The sequence below is a fragment of the Homo sapiens genome, chromosome 12 (genome assembly GCF_000001405.40).
Source record: "Homo sapiens chromosome 12, GRCh38.p14 Primary Assembly".
Classification (NCBI taxonomy): Eukaryota; Metazoa; Chordata; class Mammalia; order Primates; family Hominidae; genus Homo; species Homo sapiens.
The window spans coordinates 19,251,591-19,270,356 of record NC_000012.12 but is presented as its reverse complement, the minus strand read 5'-3'; the positions used below and the strand labels follow the sequence as shown (position 1 = coordinate 19,270,356).

At 35.5% G+C, this 18,766-nt stretch overlaps 1 protein-coding gene across 75 annotated transcripts in view; it reads right to left on the bottom strand.

Moving 5' to 3' along the window:
• The window catches only part of PLEKHA5 (pleckstrin homology domain containing A5), a 246,668-nt gene that overhangs the window by 106,044 nt on the left and 121,858 nt on the right, over positions 1–18,766 (bottom strand). For 55 of the 75 annotated variants that reach the window (NR_169819.1, NR_169821.1, NM_001385923.1 and 52 more), the window contains 6 exons: positions 16,334–16,417; positions 15,192–15,312; positions 12,820–12,924; positions 9,336–9,408; positions 4,507–4,607; positions 472–587 (listed from right to left, as the gene is read on the bottom strand). Coding sequence is in view for 68 of the 75 variants with exons in the window: in NM_001385923.1 (NP_001372852.1) it covers positions 472–587; positions 4,507–4,607; positions 9,336–9,408; positions 12,820–12,924; positions 15,192–15,312; positions 16,334–16,417 (600 nt within the window). In the remaining 7 variants the exon portion in view is untranslated. Of the gene's footprint in view, positions 1–151; positions 170–471; positions 632–1,778; positions 4,425–4,506; positions 4,608–9,335; positions 9,409–12,819; positions 12,925–15,191; positions 15,313–16,333; positions 16,640–17,187; positions 17,266–18,766 lie in introns of those variants that run through there. The other 20 variants (NR_169820.1, NR_169818.1, NR_169816.1 and 17 more) reach the window with 7 other exon arrangements.

The following is an 18,766-nucleotide window of genomic DNA, read 5'->3' as shown; positions in this document are numbered from 1 at the left end:
CACACTTTAGAAACATCAACACACTATTACAGAAAAACACAAATTAACTTCATAAAAATAAACTCTCTTCTAAGATTTAGAATCTTAAAAACACTATCTCAAAGGATAAAAATCTGTGTAGCTTTAAGGTAACAATTAAAAACGTACTCACCGGAAATTAAAGGTAATTCTGTAAGAAGAAAGAACATTCAGTTTGAATGTTAGGATTCTGGATTCACCCCAGTACACCGATAGGTGAAAATGAATAAAGAAGAAAAAGAAGAAAAGTGGAATAAAAATGTAGGTGGTATCGCAAACTAACAAAATGTGTATTAATTTAATTCAGAACAGGAATTGATCCTTGCTTTCTGAGGAAAAAATGATTTCATACCATGACTATTAAAATGATATGTACTATGACAGTGAAATACTTGCAAGGCATGGAATAAAATGGAAGTGGAAATCACCATCATTTTTTCTACAAGCCTTTACCTTTTCACAGGTTCTGTCTGTACTAGGGCAGCATCTAACATGGCTTTCATCCACAACTCCATTTCCTTTCCTGTATCAGTGCAGAAATAATAGGTCCGCATGTTTGGATGGGCTGCCTGATTGAAAATGACACGATCATTTTAAATAAAAATATAGGATTCTGTAAAAGAAAAAGAAAAAAAGGTAAGTGATTCCTGACATAGAACGTTGCTATCAAATTTCAGAGAAAGTAGACTTATCTTTTACCTGAGATATGGAAATGAATCAAGAAAAAATATAACTATTAACTTGAAAAATATATATTAATTTCCCCCTTAATTTTACCCTCTTTCTTTTAGTTGTGTGCACACTCTAAAATTAAAAATAAAAAAAAAAAAGAGTGCATGGAAAGGAAAGGAGGTGAGAAATGAAGTACTTAGTGGTGCCTCTTCCATCTCCACATTTCTAGCAATTTCCATTTACTGCAATTCACACCTTTTTTTTTTTTTTTCTTTTTTTTGAGACAGAGTCTCACTCTGTTGCCCAGGTTGGAGTGCAGTGGAGCAATCTTGGTTCACTGCAACATCTGCCTCCCTGGTTCAAGCGATTCTCCTGCCTCAGCATCCCGATTAGCTGGGATTACAGGCATGTGCCACCATGCCCAACTAATTTTTGTATTTTAGTAGAGACGGGGTTTTGCCATGTTGGCCAGGCTGGTCTCGAACTTCTGACCTCAAGTGATCTGCCTGCCTCAGCCTCCCAAAGTGCTGGGATTACAGGTGTGAGCCACCACACCCAGAATAAGAATATTTATTCTTGAATAAATATTCTTTATTTAAGAATATTCCCAGCAACCAGCAACAAAATTAATAGAAATGTACATGTTATGGCATTTCCCTCCTGCGTTAGCAATTTCTTTAGGCCTCAAAAGGCACTGCTGTATTTTATAGAATCCTTTATAGGTATCTACACCCAAACACAAAAGATTTATAAATGATCCGAAATGGTGTTTTCTTTTTGAGCTGTTCCTTAATAAACTACTCAAATGTTCTATGTTAAGATAATTAAAACCACCTACAAAATGTTACTGGACTCCCTGAGTGGGGTTTTGGAAAAATAAAGACCACTGCCCATATTTGTGATCAATGTAAGGAACACTGGGTTGGTATCAAGACGATCCAGTTCTAGCCATGACTCAAGACACTAAGAATCCCCACCATGCTCGCCATCAGTCAAATGGAAATATTTACTAGATGATGTCAAAGTACCCAGTCTAGCTTTAAGTTTCATGCTTGTGTTCAATAATTGTCTATAAAGTTTCTACTTACCATTCTGATAAGCATTTGCAACAATGTCAGCAAACTTAGGAGTAAAGCAGCTCATACATTCAGAGGAAACAACATCACAGAAGAGAGAAAGTGAAACAGCAATTACTATCATTGTTACAGATAAAATTAAAACTGAACCAAATAATTGCAGAGAAAATATACTTAACATGTATGGTCACTTTTATTGCTATTTTAACATTGTAGTATTTTTTAAGAGTCTAAAAACGCAGAAAAAAGTCCTACAAATAGCATAAATTGATAAACATTTGCTAAATTGATAAGCAACAAAAAAATTTAAATTCATGGCCTAATAATAGTGCTAATATCACGCACCTCTACATGTGTACTTCATAAAGTTATAATTTTAAATTTTCAAAGTGTTAACTTTTGTTTTAACATCATAAAATACTTAATTATGTTTCTCTGGTTTATACTGTTGATACAGTTTATTTTGATAAAGTTAATTTAACTATGAAGATACTCCCCTCTTATCCTTAGGTCTTTGCTCCAGTTACATTACCTTCTCATTGAGGCCGTCCATCACCCAACCCCTTAACCTCACCACTATACCTTTCCTGTTCTTTTTCTCCATAGCTCATGTAACAATTTTTTTTTTTTGAGCCAGAGTTTCGCTCTTGTTGCCCAGGCTGGAGTGCAATGGCGCGATCTCGGCTCACTGCAACCTCCGCCTCCCAGGTTCAAGTGATTTTCCTGCCTCAGCCCAAGTAGCTGGGATTACAGGCATGTGCCACCATACCTGGCTAATTTTGTATTTTTAGTAGAGACAGGGTTTTTCCATGTTGGTCAAGCTGGTCTTGAACTCCTGACCTCAGGTGATCTGCCAGCCTCAGCCTCCCAAAGTGCTGGGATTACAGGCATGAGCCACCGTGCCTGGCTATTTTTTTGGGGGGTTGGGGGAGGGAGGGAGTCTTACTCTGTCGCCCAGGCTGGAGTGCAGTGGCACGATCTCGGCTTACTGCAACCTCCGCCTCCCAGGTTCGAGTGATTCTCCCACCTCAGCCTCCCCAGTAGCAAGGACTATAGGCAAGCACCACAATGTCTGGTTAATTTTTGTATTTTTAGTACAGACGAGGTTTCACCATGTTGGCCAGGCTGGTCTCAAACTCCTGACCTCAGTTGATCCTGACCTGCCTCAGCCTCCCAAAGTGCTGGGATTACAGGCATGAGCCCCTGTGCCCGGCCTGCTCATGTAACATATTAATTAGCAAAAGTTATAAATCAGCTGCAGTCCTCAGTATTCTCTACAAGTGGTGGGAATTTAAAATTGAATCAATTTTATAATGGTACAAACATGTTCATTGTTAACCAGCAGCACTTCCCCCCTCTTTTCTCTTAAAATGAAATTTCTGCAAGAACCTTATAGTTCCTTACTCTAAAACAGACTGAAAAACTAGGTGACCTCTGAAATTTATTTTAGCCATAATCATAAAGCAAAGAATGCAGAATGATTTTTGAAAACAAAAATCTCCAAAAATAGCATTGAAGACCTCTTACTTGAGAGTGATCCACAAACCAGTAATACCACAAAGATTGGTGGGTACTATTAATCAGGGAAGGGGATCTCAGGTCTGCTTGGATTTAATAACAGCAGATTTCACATCCTGACTTCAGTGTTCTCTGTAAAGTACCCGATGATCATGATGTACTTAGACCCAAGAACATCTTTGCAATTATTCTCTAAGTTTTTCAATAAAGGTACATATATATATCTTTATTAAAAAATATTGTTGTCTCTTATAGTACTCTTCCTCCAAATTTATTATTAATAATTATTAATACAGAGTCTCACTCTGTCACCTAGGCTGGAGTACAGTGGTGCAATCTTGGCTCACTGCAACCTCTGCCTCCAGGGCTCAAGCGATCCTCCCACCTGAGCCTTTTCTGTAGCTGGGACTACAGGCACACACCACCACACCTGGCTAATTTTTGTAATTTTAGTAGAGTCGGGGTTTTACCATGTTGGCCAGGCTGGTCTTGAACTCCTGGGTTCAAGCTTTCTGTCCAACTCGGCCTCCTGAAGTGCTAGGATAACAGGCATGAGCCACTGTGCCCATCTTATTAATAATTTTTTTTTGAGACAGGGTCTTACTGTGTTGCCCAGGCCGGACTGCAGTGGCGTGATCCTGTCTCACTACAGCCTTGACCTCCCAGGCCCAAGTGATCCTTTCACCTCGGCCTCCCAAGTAGCTGGGACTAGCCACCATGCCCGGCTAGTATGTTTTTTTTTTTGGTTTTGTTTTGTTTTGTTTTGTTTTAGAGACAGGGTCTCACTATATTCCCCAGGCTCAACTCCTGGACTCAAGTGATCCTCCCACCTTGGTCTCCGGAAGTGCTGGAATTACCGCCACTGTGCCCAGACCCCAAATTTATTATTAAAAAATTCAAACATACAGTAACGTTGAAAAAACGTATAATAATCACCAGGACATCCATAATTATATTCATCAATTATTAGCATTCTGACATGTTCATTTTATCTAGAACCATTTGAAAGCACAGACATGAAGACACTTGACCCCTAAATATTTTAGCACGTGCTTCCTAATTAGAGGGACATTCTTCTATACAACCATAAGACCATTAATTAATATATTTTAAATATAAAAATCACTATAAGGTAGCTTTTTTGTAATAATCTATGGCTCAATATCCATTTTAACCAACGCAAGTTTTGAACACAGAATTAAAAACTGCATTATTTCCTTACCTTAAAAGCATATTTGCGATTAATGTGATCTTCAGAGGTAAGCAAAGCTATCTGAAAACTAGGTAACAGTATGCTTCCCAGGATACCCTCTTCTTTCTCATCTAAGAGATAATTTAACATCTGATTAGAATTTTAAATGTTCTTATGAAGCAAAGTTTTTCAAGATCTATTTTTGCCAAATCAAAAGGTTCTTGTACATAAATGAACTATATTCATGTTCAGGCAGGCCTTTATAAGGTTTTAAATGAAAATATCAAATAGCACAAGAATTTATACTTTGGTATATATACTGCATTCTACAAAGCCCCTTTACATGTCATTCACTGAAAAACATACTGGCATATAAGTAATGGCATTAACCCACCCACATCTCTGATAGGATTTAAATGCCCAACCATTCTATCCCCAGACAAATACATGGCTTTCTTGGTTACATCCTTCAGGCTTTGCTCAAAGGTCTCATCAATGAGGCCTTCCTTGACTACTGTATTTTAAAATGTTATTTATTTAACGTTTTCTCTGTTCTCCTTCGAGAATGTTACCATTGCCTACTCTCAATACCTCCGGCAAACTATATGTTTTAGCTATTTATTTGCTTATTATCTTTTTCTCCATGCTAGAATGTAAGTTCTACAAAGACACTTAGAATGACAGTGGTAGATGCTCAAAAGAATTTGTTGAATAAATGAAGACGACATGTGAATACATATTTGAACTATGCTATATAAATTATACGCTTTTTAAAACATTTAACTTTGAAGGTCTGCTTTTTACTAATCATTCTGATATACAATAGTGTGACTAAATTACAGGCCTACAAGGCAAGCACATAAAATATACCTAGGAAAATGATAAACATTAATCTTGACACAGTATAGATTCACATTATTAACTTGCTGCTTGGGGGCAGAGATGTTTATGAAACTTGAAATATGTACTTCATTGTTATAGACCTATAAGACAAGTTAATAAAGCGGTGTCATCAGGCTAATAAACTCACCAATGAGAAATCATAAAAGTGAAATAATTCTTTTTATTATGTTTGCTGTGTGTGACTTTTTTGTTTTTCCTAATTATCAAAAACTTAACATGGGATTTTATTTATTTCGCCCTCATTTCCAGAGTATCTGGTGAAACATCCAGAAGGGAAAAAGTTACATTAAATGGAGGCTTTTTTCAATAGCTTTTCTCATAGCAATGGAACAAAATTTTGTTTTTACTATTCTGTGCTCATTCAGGTACGATTCGTTAATGCGTAAAAGGATGAACGGAAGTACAGATTTAGTCCAAAAGGTTAAAAAGAGTTGGAAAGCAGTCATGAATTACAGAGAATGTGACAATTTAAAAGAATAAGTCAAACCCTAATTTTGAATCCAATTTTATGTTTTATGTTCATGTAAAGGGTATAGTCACAAACAGCACATGAAGTCATCTTTATTAAAAAATCATTTTAATCAAATAATACATCCTTCTATGTCCCATAATAAAATAATCTTTTCTAAAGTTGCTTCAGAATAGACAGAGGCACTAAAGCACAGGGTGATTTCCCTAGATTACGTGAGGCCGTTTTCCTGCCTAACACTAACTAGCTGTGAAATCCTTGCCAAGTTATTGATGCTTAGTATCTGTTTTATCATCTATAAAATTGAGGATAATAGGACTTACCTCAAAAGATTGTTATGAGGGTTAAATGAGTTAATACACATCAAAAACAGCACTGAGAGTGAAGCATTAAATAAATATTGCCATTATTATATAAAATCAAAGACAGTGCGTGTAAAAAATCTTCACCTTCTATCAAATGACTATCCTGAGTTCTTCAGCTTCTTAAACTGCTTCTAATCATGACATTCTTCTGTTTAGTTCTATATCAAGCCTGATGGAAGCACTGTCCTAGTTTCTATTACCTAGAGAGACTCATAGACTGACAAAGAGTAAGTACTCAGTAATGTTTGTAGAATGAAAGAACTCTCTATGGGGTCAGCCGAGGCCTTTCTGAGACTGCATGGCATCCCATTTTCTTTTGTCTCTGCCATTTCCTTCCTTCACTTTGCCACAGCTGATGGTTCCAAGAACAACACTCTCCAAAAAGCTTTCTACATATTAATCTCCATCACAAAATTTGCTTCGTAGGGAAGATGAGCTGGGACAAGAGCCGTAAGAATCTCAACATTTTACTGGATTCAAGTGACATTTTAGATTCCCCATTTCTACTTAGTTTTAAAGATATTTGGGAATATCTTTAGCAAATCAGTTATTTTCTCTGTCTTAATTTCCATTATCTGTAAAACATGGACTGATCTCCAAAAAATTCTGACAACACACTTTTTATGTCAGTAGACTAGATGCTTTGAGAAATGGAGAAGAAATGAATGGGGCCACTGCCCTCAGCATTTAAGTGAAGAGGATATCTGAGTGGGGGCAAAAACTCGTGATTAAGAGAATAGAAACTAACAGTGTCAGCTCTGGAGTCAGAGTGCCTGAGTTCAAATCCTGACTGTGCCACTTGCGAATTGTGAGACCTGAGGTAAGCACTTTGTATATGAGTTTCCCCTCGCGTGCAATGAACATAAGATTCCCCACGTTATCAGGTAGCTGTGAGGGTTAGATAAAATAGAGCATCTATATAACTTGCTCAGCACAGTACTCAACAAATACTAAATATGCAAAAAAAAATATATAGGCTATTATGATCTCACTGAAATCTAATTATTTTAATTTAAAATCTAATATTTCTTATTGATAAAATAGTAAAAATGTATAATATCATATACTTCTTTCCAACAGCCTGCAGAGCAGTCATCTGAAATGAGTTAAATGATATTTCTCTTGTTTCTACAGTTTCTTCTTTTTTATATTCCCCATCTGGGAAACTACTAAAATTAATAAATACATTGCATATAAAATGCAGGTGGTTAATAATAAGGAATCTCAGACTCAGCATGGCTTGTTTTTTGTTTGTTTGTTTTTCCAACTTCTATTATAGGTTCAGGGGTACACATGTGGATTTGTTACAAAGGTAAATTGCGTGATGCTGAGGTCTGGAGTACAAATGAATCAGTCTCCCAGATAGCACAGTACCCAGTTGGTACTATGTTCAGCCCTCCCCTCTCTTGTGCTCCCCAGTGTCTACTGTTCTCATCTTTATATCCATCAGCATGGCTTCTGATTCACTTTTACATTTTTGAAATATGATCAAAAGCTTTCCTATTATAGTAAAAGTGATGAGTCCCACCTTTCCCTGAGCAACAACAATAGCAAATTACAAGGAATTCAGTGGTTTTTGTTGCAAATTAACATCAATAAATTCTTGGCTGGGCATGGTGGCTCACACCTGTAATCCCAGCACTTTGGGAGGCTGAGGCAGGTGGATCATTTAAGGTCAGGAGTTTGAGACCAGCCTGGACAACATGGTGAAACCCCGTCTCTACTAAAAATACACACAAAAAATTAGCCAAGTGTGGTGGCGCGTGCCTGTAATCCCAGCTACTTGGGAGGCTGAGGCACAAGAATCACTTGAACCCGGGAGGTGGAGGTTGCAGTGAGCCAAGATTGCACCACTGCACTCCAGCCTGGGCAACAGAGCAAGACTCTGTCTCAAAAACAAAACAAAACAAAACCCAACAAATTCTTGTATTAGAAATTTAAAATATTAGAAATAATAAACATTTCTTGTTATAAGTAGTCCATAAATATACTGAAAAAGAGACGAGAAGAGAAATTATAAGCTTAAGGATAATGCCTGAAATACAACTCCTAACTTTCTGAAAGAGTGAGAAAACCCCTAAGAAAAATTGTAGAGTAAGCTTAGCATTTAACTAAAGACAACACCGCAATTGCAGCCTAAGGAACATCTCTATGACAAAATGCAATTTTATACGGTTGGTTAATTCTGACTCAGCAGTAATTCTCAACTACAATTTGCAGATGGAAACAATTCTAGTAATTCCAAATTTTGAAGGTTAATATGTATTACAATGCTTCAATACACAACTATAAATTTTGCTACCGGTCTTTTGTGCAGTCAAAAAATGTAGAAACTGCTAATCAGTTCTAAAACTCTGTTATATCTTATAAGCTATACTTCTAGAGAAAAGTCATAAATTATTAATTATGGCTTGACAATCTAATTCTTTCATTATCCAAAGTTTAAAGTAGAGAAGAAGGAGAGATTATCCAGATTCATCATTTTATACTATAGCTGAGACAGACTTTTCCGGAGAGTGCCACCCAGGTATGCCTTTCATTGGCAGGTAACAACTTTGTAGTATCTTGTAGTATCTAAGAGATCCATGTGGTGTATGAAACATCTCTGGATTTTTATTTAAAACTGAATTAATAATTTACTAACCAGAGAAAAGCTATCAGTGTTTGGTCAAAAAAAAAGTTCAAAATGAAATTTGTATTTCACTTTTTTCATTTGCCATTACATAATAGTAGTCCTTAATATTCTAATATCATTTGCTGGGGAGCAGAATTGGGTGCTTGAAGGACCCATAAGCTAGATCTGACAAAACTGACATGTGAAAAGAACCTCCTCAAACTAAGGATTGTATCTATTAAGCACCGAATTCAAGAGTAGCATTATAGAGCAAAGATTAGGGAAGCTGAACCAAAACTCAGACCAAACACGGTCTGAAGCACCATATTTATTCTATCATAACCCCAAAACTCAGAATGATATGTCAAAGGAGAAAAAATCTGTTTGATACTATTTGTTGATAATAAAATAGCACACAGAGTTACAATACTTTTTAAAGTATCTGATACTTAACTTATATTACATATCAATTACAAAATAATACACTAAGACAGTAGGGTAAACTTACCTCTATAATAAAAGAGGCAAAGGTCAGAAAGCACAAACCAGCGTTTCTTCCACAATTTCATGCCAGTACTGTCCTGGATTAAATCAGCATATTTAAGGATTATTTCTCAAACAACAAAAACTCACATGTGCATTTATTTATTTATTTATTTTTATTTTTTTGAGATGGAGTTTCGCTCTTGTTGCCCAGGCTGGAGTGCAATGGTGCAACCTCTGCTCACTGCAACCTCTGCCTCCTGGGTTCAAGCGATTCTCCTGTCTCAGCCTCCAGAGTAGCTGGGGTTACATGCGCCTGCCACCATGCCAGGTTAATTTTTTTTTGTATTTTTAGTAGAGACAGGGTTTTAGCATGTTGGTCAGGCTGGTCTCTAACTCCTGACTCAGGTGATCCACCCGCCTTGGCCTTCCGAAGTGCTGGGATTACAGGCTTGAGCCACTGTTCCTGGCCTTGTGCATTTATTTAAACTTTTAAAACAAGGTATGTTTGATACATGTGTAATATAACCTATCTAAAAGGCCAATTAAAAATTTGGAGGTAGTTTTCTAGGGCCTTAGATATTCCCAACTAGACTGGTCTCCGAAAATACCATCATGCAAAAGGAATATATTAAGGCAATTTGATTTGGCTTCGTATTTGTAAGCAATTTGGAATTCACTCTTCTCAACACAAACATCTGCTAGGATGAGAATAATGTAACCATGCAGCAGTGCATGTGTTCTGGTAAACCAGATTTAATAAATATGTTAATCTTCAACAAGAAGAGAAATATGTGAATTGAAATTATTCCAAAGGTAATGTGATTTAAAATGACTATGAATAAAGAAACCTTAATATACAAATGCAATTCATAAACATTTTTTTCTTACACCTATAGTTTGGGATTTGCTCATCATGCAAAAAAGAGAGACTTTTTGGCAGCTATTTCTAAGTAATTTAGTTCATTAAAATATCAGGCTCAAACAAAATTAGAATTTTAATAAAAATTACTTTCCCATATGCAATGTAGCAAAATTGGAAGTGAGAATTAAACAGATACCAAAAAAAAAGAAAAAAGAAAAAAGAAAAAACGAGAGGCCAGTTTGGATGTGCATTGATTATTTCTAAATTTATTTCTAGCTGTGAGTAATGACTTCAGAATTATAGAAATTAACATGGGTAAAATCTTTCAAAATAAAAGATTTGGCCTTAAAATTGACAGCTATACCAAAAAAGAAACCAAAAAAAAAAAAAAAAATTAAATGGCAAATGATATCTTCAATTTTTTTTTTTTTCCGAGACAGTCTCACACTGTCACCCAGGATGGTGTGTAGTGCTACAATCTCAGCTCACTGCAACCTCTGCTTCCTGGTTTCAAGTGATTCTCGTGTCTCAGCCTCCCGAGTAGCTAGGATTACAGTCGTGCACCACTACAGCTGGCTAATTTTTGTATTTTTGGTAGAGACAGGGTTTCTCCATGTTGGCCAGGCTGGTCTTGAACTCCTGTCCTAAGGTGATCCACCCACCTTGGCCTCCCAAAGTGTTGGAATAACAGGTGTGAGCCATCACACCCAGCCATCTTCAATTACTTCATTATATTCTTTCTTTAGTACAGATAAGGGACACTGTAAACAAATATGTGTCACACACATATTACAAAATAAACACTTTTTTTTTTGGAGACAGGGTCTTGCTCTGTCACCCAGGCTGGAGTGCAGTGGCATGATCATACCTCACTGCAAGCTCAAATCCTGGGCTCAAGTGATCCTCCCACTTCAGCCTCCGGAGTAGCTGGGACTACAGATGCACACCACCACACCAGGTTAATCTTTGTTTTTTGTTTTTTTTTAAAGTAGAGATGAGGTCTCACTATGTTGCCCAAGCTGGTCTCGAACTCCTGGGCTCAAGTGATTCTCCTGCCTCGGCCTCCCAAAGTGCTGGGATTACAGGCGTGAACCACTGTACTAGGCCCAAAATAAACACTTGTTAGAGAAGCTACTTGGTAATACTTTTGCAATGCTAAATTAACCAAGGGATCAAGAAATAAGAACAAGAGCTATTTTAAATAAGGAATGCCATTAGGGTATGAGGCTCAGTTTTGCACTGAAATAGTGGATCATAATTTGGACTTATTAGAAAGACTAGCTGGAAAATATGGAGAAAATTTTCTATTAGAAACTGGGCTGGGTGTGGTGGCTCACGCCTGTAATCCCAGCACTTTGAGAGGCCAAGGTGGGTGGTCATTTGAGGAAAGGAATTCAAGGCCAGCCTGGCCAAGGTGGTGAAAACCCGTCTCTACTAAAAATACAAAAATTAGCTTGGCGGTAGTGGCACATGCCAGTAATCCCAGCTACTCGTGAAGCTGAGGCAGGAGAATTGCTTGAGCCCGGGAGGCAGAGGTTGCGGTGAGCTGAGATCACACCGCTGCCCTCCAGTCTGGGCAGGTGACAGAGTGAGACCCTGTCTCACAAAAAAAAAAAAAAAGAAAAAGAAAAAAAAAAGAAACTAAATGTGCAAAAACCTTTTAGCCTGGAAAGCTTAAATATCAGATGGTTAAAATATAGTCAATGATCTTTCAATAAAAATTATGACTCAATAAATAAAAATCATTAGGTCACCTGAAAGCAATCAGCAATATTTAACAGAATAAACTGACACCAATGAACTAATATTTAACTTGCTTTGTATCATCTGTACGTATATAGAATCAGAAAGAAAAAAGCCTTGAAGATTGAGGATGTCACCTCAGTTATCTACCAGTCACTTATCTGAAACCTAGCTGCAAACTGGGAAGTAAATAGCCTCTATGTAATCGAAATGATGTCAAAATCCAAGGAAGTAATGTACATATATATTTACTAATTGCAAAACTAATAAGGTTCCAAAAGAGCTTAGATAGCAAGTTCCCCAGTCAGTGCAGCAATATCAACCAATCAGGACGCCTGAGAGTAAACCCTGTATGAGCAAATTAAAAAGAAAAGAAAAAATAAATAACCAAAAAAAATAAGAGGAAGAAAGAATAATCTCATATTATAGAATCAAAAATCTGAAAAAACTCAGAAAAATCTGAAATTATTGTAAAATTTCTGTATAAAGGGGGGAAATATACAACTGTATATTTCTCTAACAATTTTTATATCAATAGAAAAATGAGTACCCTTGTATTAATATTTAGTTGTTTATTTCAATTTTGACATTTTAAAAATATTTCTGTCTGGATACTTTTACCATGCTATTTCTAACATTTTCATACAGCATATATTTAATTTTAAGTCTAGAAATACCCATAACAAACACACAATCTCAGTTGTAAGTAATGTCCACTCCTTTTTCTGTCTTCACTGTTCCCTTGATATTCTTCAGGGGTAACAAGCAGTCAAATAACCTGGGTGGCTTCTCCATAGTTCCTTCTTAATTTTATGATTTTATAGAATTGTCTTAGGTACATTCAGTTTAAAAGGTTCCTTCTAATTCTGTCTTTTGTTTCATATCAAAAAAAAAAAAATACCTGTTTATAAAGCCAACCTCGTCTGACAACCGGTGCATTAGGATTCCTTTTAATTGAATTTGACCTCTTTCCAAAATTATGAACTTTTTTTGAAGCTCGTGAAGTCTAAATAGAAAAAGAGCATGACAGAAAATGTGGTATTAATGCCTAGAGATTTGAGCTTATCTTCCTCTTAAAATTTAATCTCTTTTCAGATTTTCCCAAGACTTGCAGGACTTAAATCTTTTCAGAAAAATTATTAAAATTCTACTTTTGCTGGGTTAGTTTTTTGAAGTGTAAGAATTCCGCACCAAAAATTTTTCCCCCAGGGTATCACAAGTTTTACAATCTTTCCTTTAAAATCTGGATAGGATATACAATTTTTAGAAACACAGAGTATGTGGCAGTATTTTGTCCTACCTGCTATATAAAATGAATAGATCTTGAGTAAAAACTGTTAACAGATCTTTAAGAATAAACCAAATGACAGAACTTTTCCCTTTATATCTGCATTTAATAGTGCAGGTTCAATTAAAGAAAGTTAATGGCACTCAGTCTGAGGAGAAATATACAGATATTAAATATAAACAAATATATCACATCAAGTCAAAACAGGACAGGAAGGATCTGCTTAATGTGATGTAGTGTTTTCTTTTTTATGGACAACTCTGAACTTAAACTAGACAGATGGGGTTTACTGGATTCTTCAAAATACACATAAGGATATACAGTCTTTAAAAATACTGCTATGGTTACCATGAAGATTTATTTTGGCAGGAATCATAATGGTGACCAACAAAGATGAAAACAATGAAGCTATAAAGTAACATAAAATTATCTCTTACTTTTCTACTTGTTCAGAATCTTTGGAAATCCAGCATACTTCTTTAGAATTTTGTTTTGGGAAGCTTTTATTAGTATATAAGAAAATTTTAAGGCCCAATATCAACAAAATTTTTCCTAAAGCATGTTTTCTTGATAGATTTTAATTTACTTTCAAACAGGTAATGCTTAAAAACAGTATAAAACTCAAACGACACAAAAAGATACACAAAGATCAATCTACTCACTCTTGGGCTCCAGCACCCAGCTAGCCCCACTCACAACTGTGTGGCAACCAATATCACTGTATGTGTGTGCCTATCTATCTAAAATAATTGTTCTCATGATTAATGAGTATTTTTCTGAAATGACTGCATATTTTAATATCCACTCTTCTGTTCCATTATTTCTTGGAGCTCACTATATAAACCGAATGCCTATTTACCCATACTGTTGTTAGTGTGCTGTGTTATGAAACTTTCTGATCTTTGGAAATCTGCAGGTGGAAATGGTGTCTTTTTCTGGTTTTAATTAGTATTTTTCATATTATGGATGAGGCTGAGAATCTTTTTTCATATATTTAAGAGTAAATTCCATTTTCTTTCCCGAAAACTGATTTCATATAATTTTTCCATTTCCAAACTGGCTCATAAGCCCTTTTCTTATTGATTCACAGCACTTCTTTAATTATAAGGAAATTATTCTTTAATTGTTATATGAATTACAGATACTCTGCATGGATAATAATTACGTGTGGTTGAATTTCTCATTATTTTATATTGTTACTTCTGAGTTTTATGTCATATTTAGAAAGCCCATCTGCATTCTGAGCTTTTCTTTTTTTTTTTTTTTCAAATCTTCCATTGTTTTTTTCTTAGTTTTGTTTTTAACATTTCAACAACTGATCCATCTAGAAAATTTCTGGTGTAAAGTATGAGGAACAGATTCAACTTTCTTTCAAGACAATGACCTAGTGGCTCTCAATCCATTCATCAATTTCTCCAGATTTTAATTAAAATATACTCATAAAGCATTATGCTCAGTTAGCCTGTTGGATTTATTTTACTTAATAATCAGAAATTATTTATATTACTTGAAAATTTACATTCATTTATAATCTCCTAACAAAATTTTATTTCAAAAACCTTAACTGGCATTTAAAATACTATTATTATAATTATCTTATAATTATCTATTTCCTTACAATAAACATAATATACTATTACAATGGTTTTGCTGAAAAATGTTTTCTCCATCTAAGCATTCTTATAGTCAGATAATTTGATTTCTAGGCTATTACATGAATAATCACCTTTAAAACTTAAGTGTACCCATTCTCTCTCACAAATATCAATGTATTTCTAAAATTATTCCAAATTTAAAAATTTAAGTCACTGAATTACAATCTTATTACTTTGTATTTCGGGCTGTTGCTTCTTATATCAATTACCTTCAAATTCATGTAATAATAAAAATGTAATTATTATTCTATACTTTTAAGTCCATTATGAGTAACGGTATAGATACTGTTTACTCCTTATCAATAATTAATATAAAGCAAAATAACTTACTCTGCCTACAGGGCTCATTGGATGCACTGCATAATCTGAAGTCACGTTATAGTTAGAAGCTTCATTTATCATACTTATTGGCCGTTCCTTCTTTTCTTCAGATGTCATGGTTGCAACAGTCCTGAAAATATATGTCAAAATGCTAGAACTTGCTGTGTATGTAACCCGCTTTATAATTACACTTCTCTACAGTTAACAATGCGAGTGTCCTACTTTTTCACAGTACTTGGATCCTAGTTACTCTAGAGTCAGGCCTTAATACTTACAACAACTTTAAATACAGCTAACGCTTTTCCTAAGCCAAAAATACATTATTATCATGTTTATTTATTATTAGTTTTTAAGACAAGAGTCTCACTCTGTTGCTCAGGCTACAGTGCAGTGGCGTAATCTTGGTTCACTGTAGAATCTGCCTCCCAGGTTCAAGTGATTTTCCTGCCTCAGACTCCTCAGTAGCTGGGACTACCAGCACGTTCCACCATGCCCGGCTAATTTTTCTATTTTTTTAGTACAGTCAGGGTTTCACCATGTTGGCCAGGCTGGTCTTGAATGCCTGACCTCAAGTGATTCGCCCACCTTGGCCTCCCAAAGTGCTAGGATTACAGGCGTGAGCCACTGTGCCCGGCCTATCATGTTTATTTATAATAGGCATTATTGCAGATATTCTACTTGGTCACCCAACTGAAAAATTAAAAATGAATTATGAGATTATTCTAATTTTAAAAACAATAACAATTTCAGTAACTAACTCTGTGAATAGCTTTATAGTATAATACATTCTTTGATGCTTATAAAACTCTTGTGAAATAGTAATTACCACTATCTGATTTAAGGATGAGAAAAGTGAGCTCAAATTAGTTTAATAATCTAACCATTTACACAGTTTCTCTAAGCTTGCATCCCGGGTTCTTGAGCTTACTGCGTTTGAAGTACTATAAAAACAGCTTCTGAAATTACATTCTTCATGAAAAAAATGTTTAACTCAGGTTTCTATATGACACATTGTGAACAGCTGGCATTCTGTTATTATACTTGACTACAAATGTCCAGATAAGAAAACTGCTAAATTGAAATATAAATAACAGCAATTTCAATGCTAACCCAATTTTGAATACAGGCATTCCATGAAACTCTTTACTTACTGTTCATTCACTACAAAAATACAATTGTCCTGTGATGGTTGTCCTGTGACTGGATGTTTGCAGGTCACTTTCCTTTCATTATGGCTGAAAAAAGGAAAAAAGAAAAACAGAACATGCAGGTATTTAAAATTCCCATTTATTTATTGTAACATTAGTCTACAAAGGAAATGAAATTCAAACTTCCAGCCTTTTTTTTTGTTTTTGAGACGGAGTTTTATTCTTGTCGCCCAGGTTGGAGTGCAATGGCGCATTCTCGGCTTACTACAACCTCTGCCTTCTGGGTTCAAGCAATTCTTCTGCCTCAGCCTCCCAAGTAGCTTGGATTATAGGCGCCCACCATCACGCGCCCAGTTAATTTTTTGTATTTTTAGTAGAGACAGGATTTCACCATGTTGGTCAGGTTGGTCTTGAACTCCTGACCTCAGGTGATCCACCCGCCTCGGCCTCACAAAGTGCTGGGATTACAGGCATGAGACACGGCACCTGGCCGCCAGCCTTTTGAGATTCCTAAATATATCTTTCCTACTATCTATTGAGAGTGTATATGTGTGTAAATGTTACTTATATTTTTACAAAAAAGTTAAATGCATCCCTTCTCAGTCTGGCCTCAATCCTTTTTCATTATTTTATAAACAAAGGTTAAGTTGTAGGCCAGGTGCCATGGCTCACGCCTGTAATCCCAGCATTTTGGAGCGCCAAGGAAGGTGGATCACTTGAGGTCAGGCGTTCAAGACCAGCCTGACCAACATGGTGAAACACCATCTCTACTAAAAATACAAAAATTAGCCAGGTGTGGTGGCGTGTGCCTGTAATCCCAGCTACTCGGGAGGCTGAGGCAGGAGAATCGCTTGAACCTGGGTGATGGAGGTTGCAGTGAGCTGAGATTGTGCCACTGCACTCCACTCTGGGCAACAGAGCAAGCCTCTGTCTCCCAAAAAAAAAAAAAAAAAAAAAAAAAAGGTAAGTTGATTTGGCTGTTTAGCTCTTTACACTGCATTGTAAAATACAATGATTACTGTATTTTACACTTCATAGGTGGGTCATGAAAAGTAAGTATGAGTGTCTACTTACCTCCACTGTTTTATGGTCCAACATGGGTGCATTACAGAGTACTAATGCCAAATTCATAAATGGAAAGAAAACCTAACAGTACTACTATATGGGCACCAGTACCTTAAAAAAATAGAAGGTTCTGAAACAGGAATAATTTACAGTGTTTCTGTTTTAAAAATAACCTTTATATAGATAATGTAATGAGATTAATTTTTTGACACTTGAGGAAGGTATGTTGTAGAAAAAAATGAAATCTGAAGGAGAAGCAAAAATCTTAAATGAAATGTGGAAACAACAACAAAAACAAAGAAAAATCTGTTATATTTACTGAAAAAAATTGCTTTGAATTAAGTTATGACTATTTTTGGAGAAAAAGATGTTTGCCTAAGAAATAGTATTCTTTCTAGGTTGAATGATAAGATTAGGTCTTCAACTGTCTTCTTGAATGAAAGAAGGAAAAAAACCCTATTTATTTAAGCCAAAAATATTAGATGCTCAAAATAATATGCAATATACATTGATATATTAAATAGTCTATAATAATTTTCATTAAGTCATATACCATAAAGTAATCTGTAACAGAGACCTATCATTGACATGCCTGACATTAGAAAATTTACCTTGTAAGGTCTGTATTGAATATTAGTTTTCTTTTGTTAATCTTAAAATATTAGTACATGTGCTGTGTATGGTGAGAAGTCTATAACCACAACCTGCAAACTTCCAGGTAAATTTCATATGCTTAAGTTCTTTTTCCAAATCCTAATTTTCATATTTTTTTGGGTAACTCAATACTCTGAAGCTTTATCCATTAAATAAAATTGAAACAGTATTAATATAAAGATATAGATAGTTTTAAAAAAATTCCATATTGACTATTGTAAGAGTAGAATCATTAATGAAACATAGTGTTTCTATTATTCCTTAAATCAAGTAGTCTAAGAAGCACATAGAGCCATCTGTTAATATTTAGAAAAAATTTAATAGATACAGCACTTGACACCCTGGGAGGTAGCTGGCTCACTGTTAGGTCCTGACCATTGTCTTGGCACAACGGAGGAGTGGACTGCTCAGGACCACAGGAAGGGCAGGGAAGGGAAGACAATGATTCTAGCCTTTTCTCAATTCTACCAAAGTTTGTCCCCTGTATTATTACAAATTGTATGTTTTTATCTTAGAGCTGCCATTCTTTTCTGCATTTCACAAGTTTTTTTTTTTTTTTTTTTTTTTTGGATGGGCCTCAAAATTCAGATCAAGAGAATCATCAGTTCTGCTATAACGCTTGCTGGAACTGTTTCAACATGATTTGTACGTTAAAGGAACAATTTGAGCACAACACAACTTGGCATTTGCTTATGCATGATTTTATCTGTGAGAGAC